The 12,557-nt window shown below is 37.1% G+C and overlaps 1 protein-coding gene across 4 annotated transcripts in view, besides 1 other annotated feature; it reads right to left on the bottom strand.

Annotated features, from left to right (window-relative positions):
* Positions 1-12,557, bottom strand: part of KCTD16 (potassium channel tetramerization domain containing 16) — a 314,814-nt gene that overhangs the window by 155,700 nt on the left and 146,557 nt on the right. The gene's annotated exons all lie outside the window — the stretch shown is intronic.
* Positions 11,606-12,118: an enhancer, noted in NCBI's record as "OCT4-NANOG hESC enhancer chr5:143697432-143697944 (GRCh37/hg19 assembly coordinates)". NCBI's record gives its function as "activates a minimal SCP1, AML or CMV promoter by ChIP-STARR-seq in naive and primed H9 embryonic stem cells {active_cell/tissue: H9 hESC(naive and primed)}" and the evidence as "EXISTENCE:reporter gene assay evidence [ECO:0000049][PMID:30033119]".

The following is a 12,557-nucleotide window of genomic DNA, read 5'->3' as shown; positions in this document are numbered from 1 at the left end:
GCAACTATAGCTTTCCTGGTAATTTTTGAAGTCATGGAATGCAACACAAATGAGACATCAAAACCACCTATGAGAATTTCAACCTCTCATGACTCAATGCCTCTACACTTCAAATACCTTCATGTCTAAAACAGAATGACTACAAATCATGACTTCCTGATGTCCTTCCTAAGGTTGGTGGACTGAACATATGATATATGTGAAAGTATTCTGCAAACTTGTGGGAACTAGGCAACTACTTGTGTTTCTGTTTGTTTGATTGAGTGTTTATTTGTAGAAGCTTATTTCTTGGCACCACCTGAAAATTCCTATCCAACTTTACTAATATCCATATTCCTTCAAATATATTTAACAGATTGATTCAAGGCCACCAACAAAATCTGTTGCTGTTTTGGTACATAATAGAGCTTTGTGATTTCCTGTAGTAAAATCCAAGCGTCCAATAAAATGCTTTCATTGATTGCAGTGTCACTTTTAGATGCTGCAAGGGCTCCAAACAAGAGTCATCTTTTAGCACTCTGCTGTGGGTTTACTTTTTATGGTGTTGGGATCTAGTGGGTAAATACAGCTTCTGCATTAACACTAACCTGAAGAGACAAACCTCTCAGGAGGACCATCTCCTCTTTATGCTTTTCCAACCCTGGGGTCATAAATCCTATCAGCCTGCAGAGATGAAGCATCCTAATGATTACAGTGGCACAGAGGTGTTCTTTGAGTGAACCAAGCAAATAAAAATTAAAGTTCAAAGTCACTGGGTAATCTAAGACATTCATTACACCTGTGCTGAGCCAGTCAGGCCTGATCAGCCAAATAGGCATCAGGCCAGTGAGTGTGCAGGAGAAAGTAAACACCTCTAAGATTCACCTTGTTTCCTCCCAAGGGTGTCAACATTGTGGGATGCAAACAATATTTCAAATAAGTTTGCCTTGAAAAGCACTAGAGGGCTTTAAAAAACTGCTCTGAGTCTCAAGCCTGGGATATAGATGGGTGATCATATTTATAGTTCATTCAATAAAAAATTAAATACAGATTTAAAATCACTATAGCAGCCAATCTGAACCAAGAACGATTGGCATCAATGAATCAGGCAATAAGAAATCAGATGCTGATAAAAAAAAAAAAAGAAAAAAGCTACAGCAAAGTCTTTCCCAGCCATAAGATGCAGGAAAATGAGAGTGCTTTTCACAGTGGAGAAGGACAGAATGATTCCATAAAGCAGGCGGGCAAAACCCACAGTAGATCTCCAGCTATGAGTAGCAGGGTGTAGCTGACAGCAGCTGGACACACACTGGAGGCCTGTGATAGAGGGCCTTGATGTTCAGGCTAGAGAGTCTAGAGGTCCTTAGGAGCCACAGTTAGTTTACACATAGATGATGTAATGCACATGAAAAACAACAGGATAAAATTGTTTCAGCACTTAATTTCGCAGGAATACACACTCACTGCTTGCAAAATAAAAAAAAATAAAAAAAATAAAAAAAAAAGAGGATATTCGCTTCCTGGTCCTATCCCACACACTCAAATCAACAGGCAGAACAATTGCTAGTCTCAGGGGAAGGCCTACTCCGAAAGAGAGGAGATACAGATTGATTCTGGTAAGATCTCTTCTTCCTCTTCCTCGGCCTCTAAATAAGATTAATGAGGAGATTTATGTAATTGCCTAGTGAATTCACAACCACATATGCACCTTTCCATGAATTGTCAAACTTGTCTGAGTATCATATTAATGTGTGACTTTAATATTGTCTCCAACATAACTCTGATGGTGTTAAAACAGGCTAAAATATGAGCAGAACTTTTCATTCTTTATTTCTCCTTTCTAAAAATATTTATTGAGTACTGTGTTAGGTGCAGTGGGGATCCTGAGATAAAAAGCACTGCTCTACACTCACTTTTCTCACTTTCTAAGTGAGGAGAGAAAGTAAACCAATTTTTATACATAGTGTGATGTTGTTGGTGGGAGGCTAATTGATGAAACATTTTGTAGAGTTAATCTACCAATATTAAATAAACACACGCCCTCAGACCCTGAAATCCCACTGTTTTGGATGTATCCTGAAGACATACTTGCAGATGTTCACCAGGGATTCTTCACTGCAGTGTTTATAACATCGGAAAGCTGCAAACCAGCAAAGTGTTTGTAATTAGGAACCCAAATAATTATAAATTATAAAACATCCATAAAATGGAATTATTAGATAGCTGTTTTAAAAAATGACGCAAGCCTGCATGTGTTCATAGAATTACATCCTACATATATTAAATAAAAAGCAGGATGAAAAATATTTCCAAAAATATGATTTTTTGTGGGTCATTTTTTTAATTCATGTGTATATTTAGTCACATGTGCATCGGAAAATGCAAAATTTCTGTTTTATGGAAAGAAACACAAGAAACTGTTAACAGTGATTATCTGTAGAAAGGGAGACTGAGGTACACATATAAAAACATCAAATAAAATTAATTATTTCAAAATACTGTGTGGCAAGCATACACAGCTCTATATTGGATACCATGGAAACAGGAAGAAGGGTTCATGAATTCTAATGGGAAGAGATAGGCAAGATCAGGAAAACCATCCAAAAAAGGTAATAGTTGAAGACAGAGCCAGCATTAGACTTGGAGGAGCAATCAGGAAGGCACAAAGCTATTCTAGAAGATGCATTTTTGGAAATTGACTGAATCTTCAAATCTAGTAGGTATATGTCACTCATAGCAAGGAGAAGGGCTTACTTAGAAATAATATCCAAATTCCATAGATCACTAGAACATAGGTTCTTAGCTGCAGGCCACCAATATTATGTAGCCTTAAAAAATACTATATGTACTTCTGTCTGAGGAAATACTGTCATACCTGCACCTAGAGGCAAAATCTTCACCGTTGCCAACATTGCCACCATAGCTTCCAGCGGTAAATAGTTTTGCTTCCACACCAATAAGTTCCAAATGGATCGTTTAGTTCCCGCACTCTATCAAATGCTAAATTTTCCTCAAAACTCTGCAATTTCCTCAGAATTTTCTCAGAACGCTCAGTTACTGAATTTATACTCTAATTACTTCAAATATGTTGAAGGCTGGCCATAATGTTATAATATAGGGACAGGAAACCTTTTAATTACAAATACAACATATCTGCTTGGAAGAGTCTTTCATTACTGAGGATAAGAATTTTAAGAAGCACTTTGTTAAGGATAATTTATTTCCCAAAAGACAAAGAATTAGGTCCTAGAGGCAAATAAAAGGAACTGGATTTTTCTTTCTTTCTTTTTTTCTTCTCTTTTCTTTCTTTTTTTTTTGTGAATTACAAACTGATCTTTCAACTAGGTGAAAATCCAACTCCCCATAAAAGCCTCCTTGCAGTCATTTTCAGTTAAGAAGAGAATAGTGGGAGGTATTGAAATGAGAAGAAATGATTAGTTATAAGGTCCAATTTGTTTTATATGTGAAACAGTATTTATTTTATTTCCATTTTAATACTTTGAATTGCACAGATTGAGTGGAGTTTCATAAGGCAGATGGCAAAATATTTCAACTTATCATAAACTAGTATACTTAATGGAAAAGGTTACAAACATTTTTTAAAAATTTATACTATCAATAGATCTATTTGTTCCTCGATGAGATAATTATTTTCTATTTTTCTCCTGCTAGTTTCAGGCATCCACTGATATTCTGTATTTACTATTACCCTCTCAGTCAATTTACTTCACAGACTTTATTGTCACAGACTTAGGCATCCATGTTAGAGATGGTGTTCTTGAAGGGATGCCTCCCATGGTAACTGATGAGGAAAAATAGTCACAGATTTGTTTCATTTTGATGTCTTCCCTTTAATAACTGCCAAATATTTTATAAAATATACTTGTTTTCATGGATGACCTGAGTTGAGTTCTCTGAGAAAACAAGACATTTTACATTTTACATAATTAAAATAATCACATTAAAAATACCTTTTACTGAGTCCACTATTATTATCATTAATTATTAATCTTCTCCTGATAAGGTGTTTCATAAAAATGAAATGGAATACATAGTAACATATTTACATATTGCAGAGCCCCTACATGGAATCTTTTACTAATTGAACAGGTTTTATTAAATGCCTACTCTGTACCAAGCACTGTTCTAGACACTGAAGATTTGGCAGTGCACAGGGGCAGTTCCTAAGTTCACAATCAAGGGGTGAGGGGAAACAGGCAAGTCAAGAGGCAGTTAGGACACAGCTTGATGAGGGCTTTGCTGGGGAAAGTACTGGTGCTCCAGAAGCTCGTGGTCAAGGTGCCTCTTCAGGATGTACTGCCAATGAATGCTTTCAGAGCACGTCATACCCAGGCTGAAACTTGAAAGAGAAGTATAAATAGCTAGGCCGAAAGGAGAATAGAGAATAAGAAAAGAGGGAAGAAGCTTCCAGTCAAAGAAAATAATCTGTTCAAGGCCCAGAACTGGGAGAGCACATGACAGTAGGTTGAGTGTAAAATCTAAGGGGAGGGGGAGAGGGCAAGTGAGGAAGGAGGAGAGGGTTCATCAGGAGGTGGAAGCAGAGAGCATGAAAGGCCTTTGATTCCTGTTGAAGAATTAGACCGTATCCTGGGAGCAATGGGAAATCACTGCAGGACTCTAAGCAGCCTTGTGACTTGATCAGATGTCCTATTAGACACAGGGAGGTTCTTCTAGAGCCAAACAGGCTAGAAAGGAGTCCATCAGAAATCTTGATAAGAGACAAGGGTAGCTTGAACTATTGTAGTGGCAGGTGGTGAAAAGATTTGTGTATATGTGTGTCTGTGCATGTCTATTATAATAGCCATCATTTTTTGTCCAAATAATCAGAGGGAAGAGATCTAACCTATAAAACTCTTTCGTTGCCATCATGGATAGCACACAAAGACAGTCTTTTTTATTTTATTTTATTATAAGCTCCGGGATACATGTGTGGGACATGCAGATTTGTTGCATAAGTAAACGTGTACCACGGGTTTGCAGAACCTATCAACCCATCACTTAGGTATTAAGCCCAGCATGCATTAGCTATTTTTTCTGATGCTCTCCCTCCCTTCACCCCTGCCACAGGTCCCAGTGTGTGTTGTTCCCTTCCCTGTGTCCATGTGTTATCATTATTCAGCTCCCACTTAATAAATGAGAACATGCAGTGTTTGGTTTTCTGTTCCTGCATTAGTTTGCTGAGGATAATGGCTTCCAGCCCCATCCATGTCCCTGCAAAGGATATGATCTTGTTCCTTTTTATGGCTGCATAGTATTCCATGATGTATATGTAACACATTTTCTTTATCCAATGTATCATTGATGGGTATTTGGGTTTATTTCATGCCTTTGCTATTGTGAATAGTGCTGCAGTGAACATACGAGTGCATGTATCTTTATAATAGAATGATGTATATTCCTTTGGGTATATAACCAGTAATGGGATTGCTGGATCAAATGGTATTTCTGGTTCTAGGTCTTTGAGGTATGCCACACTGCCTTCCACAATGGTTGAACTAATTTACTTTCCAATCAACAGTATAAAAGCATTCCTATTTCTCCACAGCCTCACCAGCATCTGTTGGTTCTTGACTTTTTAATAATCTCCATTCTGATGGGTGTGAGATGGTATCTCACAGACAAAGATAGTTTCTGAAAAACTAAAGCCTTCTTGGTGAATTCTCTAAAAGTCCATTTGACTGGTTACTGCTGGTAAATAGAATTATCAGATTGCTTCAAAGGTAGAAATTAAACATGCACATTGACTCTCAGGCTGCTCAGAAAATACTGGCTGGAGTCTGGGGTACTATTTAGTTACATCATGGTAAATGTAGGAGATGGAAGGAGGCAGTTGAGAGAGAAGATAGTGTGTTTCCTGTGACCTTTTTTCCCTAAACTTCCCACATTTCAAGCAATGGGAAGAGATTGAATTTGGAAGCAAATGAAAAACAAAAGGCACACAGAATTTGCTTGTCACTAATGCCAGGAAGCAACTTAGAGCCATAACCAAGTATCTTAAATCTCCAAATGCTACTGCTTTCATTTCAATAGTAGTGAGTCCTTGTAGTCACAGTACATGAAGATGCAATTGTAAAACATTAGTGAAGCAGCTCCTACATCTTGAATTCAAGTGATCTGTTTATAGTCACACAGCTAAGCAGTAGAGCTAAGGTTTTAATAGGGCTGATCTAATGCCCAAGTCCATGCTTTTTACTACACTGGTACACTAAATTGATAGTATTTGGAAGAAAATCTTTCTATATGTGGTGGCTGTGAAAATGTGCCTCACAGACCTCCAACTATGGGGAGCAGAATTACCCAAGGGCCCAGCTGCTACCCTCTGAAATCTACAACTCTTTTTGTGCAATGAGGTTGTACTTTCCATGGACTTTCCCCAGTCAAGGACTGAGGTCAGCTGCCATATTAGAGCAGGCTGATTCCTAAGAGACATAGGACTCCTTTCATGCCTGACTTTGGCTTAACAATTTCCTGGTAGCCTTGCAAAACCTAGTACACATCTACCCATTCTTTCTTTCTTTCCCCTTTACTTGGATTTAGATTTGTATCATGATCTAATGTTCTCCCAGCCTTTCCTGGCTTCCTACCAATTGTCTCTCATGGGCATGTGTCCCTAATGAAACTTGCACATTTATTCTGTTTTGGCATCTGTTTCTTGGAGAACCCAGACTTACATGGTATTCAATAAACACATCTATAGCCAAAAAGGCTGATAGAAAAGAAAAATATCTCAAGGCTTTTTAGCGCCCCAGTTGGTCCACTGTCTCAGTTGGTAAAAGTATAGTATTGAGGTTATGGATGCTAATCCATTGATTTTTCAATCTATTTCACACTATCAGTCTCAGTGGCTCTGGAACAGTCTTAGTTTGCATTTGCAGTTCTATCATAATAGCACTTCCTTTTTCTGTTAGTTTCATTCAGTGAAATGATGTCTGGAAAAGACTTCAAAATAATACTGGGAGGAGTTGATGAGGTGTGAATGAAGAAGAATTGACCAATGGATCAATGGGCCCATAGGAGTTCATTATATCATTCTATTTCCTTTGTGTCAGTTTAAAATTCTCCACAATAAAAGGATAAGAAGGAAAAGTCTTCTAATTTGGAATATGCATTCTATGGTTACCTTACCCCTAGCCCAAACCAGCTGCAAATCCGTTTTACTGGTCACAATGGAGACTTGAGAGAATGCATGCACAGCAATGCAAACTCATTCCTATTCTTGGAAGCTCATGAGTTCAGAAGTTTTTGTTTTTTTTTTTTTTAATAAAGTTTATGTCCTTTTGTTGTTATTGTGAGAAGCACCACCCACAATGGCTTAAGCAAAATATAGAATATCTTGATTGCATAGTGGTTTAAAAAAATAAAACAGTATTAGGTGATGTCAGGCATGGCTAGATTCAGAGATTTAAATTATTTCATTAGGAGTCAGTCACACAGACCCTCTCTTAGCCCTGTTTTGTTTTTTTTGTTTGTTTGTTTGTTTTTTCTGTGATGGTAAATTTTTCTTTCATGGTGGTAAGCTGGGTGTCAGTCACTCCAAGTTCATGACCCCCATTCTCAGTACATATATTTCCCAACTGCTCTAGAAAGTCCCAGGATTAGCTCTGATTAGATCAACTTATATCACATGTCATCTTTATACCAAACAGTAGGATGGAAGATGCTGATTGATCAATCCTGAGTTGACTGCACAACTATGGACAGTGAAGATGGTTCCCTCATAGACTTGGGGATGCTAGGCAGGTAGATAGAACAGGTGTCCACGACATTCTCTTCTGCCTACCTATCAACTGCTTAATCATAATCTAAATAAGGAGCAGGTGAGGAACTATGATTTTATGGCTACTCATAAACTCAGGACAATAAAAAAAATCTGCTTTTAGAATTATTCTTATCCCTCGAGATCAATCATGTGATGTAATTTCACAAAATTTATATTGCTTCTACACTTTCTCCATCTGTATTAGCAAATACTTTATTTTGATTTATCTGTATTTTTTCTTTACTCCTTTCACTCTCAATTTACCTGTATTTAAAAAAATAAATAAATGCAATTTTTACCTGATTAGTTAGGTAAAATATATAGCTAATTTTGATAGCAAGGACAAAGTTAAGAACAGAATAAAGGACAGGTTTTTCAATACATGTATTATTCTTTTTGCCTCTGAGAAGACATGCTTGAAACTGAATTTTAAACACTTCACCACTGGTGAAACAAATTAATAATGGCTCAGACACAGAGGTGTTGCATATTATTCATGATCTTGAAATTATTAATGTAACACTGAGCCATTATTATCACATATTGCCATCAGGGTAATTAACACATCTTATCTAATAGAATAAGGCCGTCAAATCAAACTAAGAAGTAATTAAGTTACATAACTACACAGCTGAGACAGAAAGATGCATGTCAAGTGAATTAAAACATTGCAGCTAACCTAGACGGTTTTAAACAGCCAAGCAGAGAAGTTTGTTATTAACTGCCTAGTTTGCCACTGATAAGTCACTTCACTGTATCATGCCTCAATTTCTATGTACTACGAAGGGATTGAAGTAATTACCAAAATCTAGGGTTCATAAGAATTGCCTGGGGAGCTTCTGAAAAATTTATATTCTCTGGTCTCCCTTGGAGATATCATGCTGCAGAATGGAGACTAGGAATACACATTTTTAACACCCTAGGTGATTTCGAAGCAGGTGATTCATGACCTACATTTTGAGAAATTCTAGAAAACAAGGTTTCCAAAGAACCTTACAGTTTTAATAATTAATGATGAGATCATTGGGTTTCCCAATAGAGTAGCAAAGTTTTCATCAAGAAGTGGTATTTACAGCTGGGCATGGTGGCTCATGCCTGTAATCCCAACACCTTGGGAGGCCGAGATGGGTGGATCACTTGAAGTCAGGAGTTCAAGACCAGCCTGACCAACATAGTGAAAACCCATCTCTACTAAAAATACAAAATTACCCAAGTGTGGTGGCATGTGCCTGTAATCCCAGCTACTTAGGAGGCTGAGGCAGGAGAATCACTTGAACCCAGAAGGTGGAGGTTGCAGTAAGCCGAGATCACGCCATTGCACTCCAGCCTGGACAACAAGAGTGAAACTCCGTCTCAAAAAGAATTGGCATTTACATTACATATGAAATGCCCATAATCCCCATTATCTACTTATGGTCTGAACCATCTATTCCCTAAAGCTAGTATGGAAAAAGTGAAAAAAAAAAAACAAATAAAAAGAAAAATAACCATTTTCAGCTTTTAAGACTGTCACTAAGCTCTGAAATTATTCTAAACCATAACACTCATGTCCTATCACAGGTAGCAAATGAGTTGCACCAAAGAAATCACAAATGTTTATTATTATTAAAACTTTCCTTTAAACAGTGTCACTTTCAAACTTGTATTCCTACTTTAACCTCCCTCTAAACATTAAATCACAAGTTTTATATGCCAGTTTAATTATTTTTAATAAAATAAATATGTAGCAATTAAAATGTGAACCATGTAAACCCATCTCAGTGGTAGGCACCTCATTTCAGGGAACATTCCAGTGAGGAATATAGAGACAAGCTACCTGTCCCCAAAGAGCTTTTCTTTCTTTGCCAAGTAATTCCGCAGTCACAGAGGGCAGGCTTAGGCACTTGCTAAGAATTTATAATTTTAATGAAACTAAGAAAACTCTATAATACATTCTTCTTCCAAATACCTTTTTCCTTTTTAGCCCTCAGATTTCACAGAGGGGGACTATGCATAGAGAATGTACATAGTGTTAAATTTTAAAAGATTATAATTGCAGGAAATTAGAAGCTACTGGTATTCTGAGATTCCCCAAAGATCTGAGAAAGTCTTCTGAGACTGTTACCTGGTTTTATTTACCAGGTTGTGAGACTTAATCAATATTTAGCCCATTTCTACTGTCCTGGCTAATAGGTCATTGTACCTGGTACTGAACAGACATACTCTAAATATAAAGCAATGGTAAAAGAGGAGCTTTCAGTCAAGTTGAATGTATAACTCTTTGCTAATATAAGTGAAATATACAAATATCAATTTATAATATTTATAAGTATATTTATACCTTTATATATACAATTATCAACATAAAATAGCGTAGCAATTTTGAAAAACTCATTTCACTCACGGTCAAAGTTTTCACAAGCACCTTTGGCATTCATGTCTTGATGATTATCAGAGCCATTTTTACTCAAGCAACACAGTTTTCCAAAATAGAGCATAGTCCCTGCCATTAGACTTATTCTAGAAAGACTATGGTTTGGGTCGGTATATGATAAAATCCATGGAAATCTTAAGCCATGACATAACATTCTTACAACATTGACAGTGAAACTGAAGAAAAGTTCTTGATGAGAAGACAAAAGAAGGAACCAAAAATTAGGCTTGTGCAAATACTTAAGACTTCAAAAAATGCATGTTGTTTAACCAGGCAAGCTCCAACGTAATTTATCAAATGTAAAATATTGGCAGCACACTCATCACAGCAGAGTTAATTGAGCTAACCTTTAACATGTTGGAATATTTTTAACACCTTAGGGAAGCTAGGTGGAAATGGAAATAAAAAACTCATTTTAACTTATAATATTTGAGATGCATAGAAGTACACTTGTGTGCATGGGTTTGGTAGCAGAGAGTAGATCTCACACAACTAGCTGTGTGAGTCTGCGTAAGTTATTTTCTATTCTTTAGTTTCTTCATCTACAAAATGTAAATAAAATGGAACTTTTCCCAATGGATTCTGACTACTAAAAGTGAGAATCAAATATAATATTGCATGTAAAACTTCTGGAAAAATACCTGGACACAAAACAACCATATAACAAAATTTAGTTATTATTAATATTTTTATTATTTATTTATTCATTCCAATAAATTTATATTAAGCACTTACTATGTATCAGGAACTATACTATATCATAGTACTTCTCATGCATTAGTTATTTGAATATTGCTTTAATTATTTTAGTCATTTCCTCATCTTATTTTTAATACTAATTTTTAAAACTTTTCTTTAAACAGTGTCACTTTCAAACTTGTATTCCTACTTTAACCTCCCTCTAAACATTAAATCACAAGTTTTATATGCCAGTTTAATTATTTTTAATAAAATAAATATGTAGCAATTAAAATGTGAACCATGTAAACCCATGAGGTGGTGGGCACCTCATTTTGGGGAACATTCCAGTGAAGAATATAGAGACAAGCTATCTGTCCCCAAAGAGCTTTTCTTTCTTTGCCAAGTAATTCCGCAGTCACAGAGGGCAGGCTTAGGCACTTGCTAAGAGGCATTTAAGTTCTAGCGGTCAGGCAGGGCCGATGAGATACATGGCCTGACGAAAGCTGACCTCAGGGAAATAGTCCTGAATGAGAAAAGGACTAACAAAACTGATGGGAGATCTCAGGCTTTTCATTAATGAATCTGCAAGTAGCAAAGTAATGCAATTATTTTATCCTAACAAAAAGTATCTGCTGTGGCACCCTAAGAATCACATTATGCATGCAAACTGGTATCTGCTGAGAAAACATTACTCCTAATGAAATAAACCCATACGTTTCTTCAACATCACCTGGCTGTCACACAGACATTCCCTTATTGCATTATATGATAGTCTCACTGGTAACAACTGTGAACAAGGTACCTTGCACATCAAGGTAGATCAAGGTACCAAGGTAGATCAAAGTGTGTACTAATATATACATAAATTCCTCCTCTTAGTCCCAAGCTGCAAAAGGAAAGTAATAACAAAGGTTTGAACAGGCCGCTCGGGGTTGTGCCTTTGATCCCTCTTTCAATAACAAAAAGAGATTTGCAAGAATGGTCACCGCAAGAGGACCCCTTCTCCTTCAGTCTCCTCAACTTGGAATTGAAAGGAAACATTGCATAGCCAGGAGAATGCATCACAGCAAGAGAACATTCATGCTTCCAGGCTAGTATGGTGGGAGACTGAGTGGAAAGCATGCTTCCCCCAAATCATTTGTTCATTCTTTCAGCAAATATTTGTTACCATTATTATTTGCCAAGTGCGGGCATAGACTCCGGGGAAATACAGATGAATAAATCTCCATCTCTGCACTCCTGGATTTCACAGTATAATAGGAGCACCATGCAGGTAAAAACGTAATTGCAAATCCAGGTGATGCATACTATGATAGAAATACAACGTACATGTCAGTGGGAGAGGGAGTGACAACAAAGTCAGAATGGAGGAACTCCCCAGGTCTGCTTTAGGAGATAAGCCATCCAGGAGGGAATCAGAAGAAGGAGACCCAACCAAGGATTTGAAGGGATTTTCTTAGTAGGATAGGAAAGGAAAACGTGAGGGTATGCATTCCTAGAAGAAATAAGGGCAGAGGAACTGACACTAGAAACAAAATGGCACGCTCATTTGGCTAAATGGTGGGGCAGGGCCAGCTTATATGGCACCTTATAGACCACATTAAGAAGTTTGGGCTTTCTCCGGTTGACCAATGGTTCACAAATTTTACTGTGCCTACACTAGTATGCTGATTCCAGGAACCATTCCCAGAGAGTCTGAGGCCC

Source organism: Homo sapiens, chromosome 5, assembly GCF_000001405.40.
Source record: "Homo sapiens chromosome 5, GRCh38.p14 Primary Assembly".
NCBI lineage: Eukaryota > Metazoa > Chordata > Mammalia > Primates > Hominidae > Homo > Homo sapiens.
This window is presented reverse-complemented; position numbering and strand designations above follow the sequence as displayed.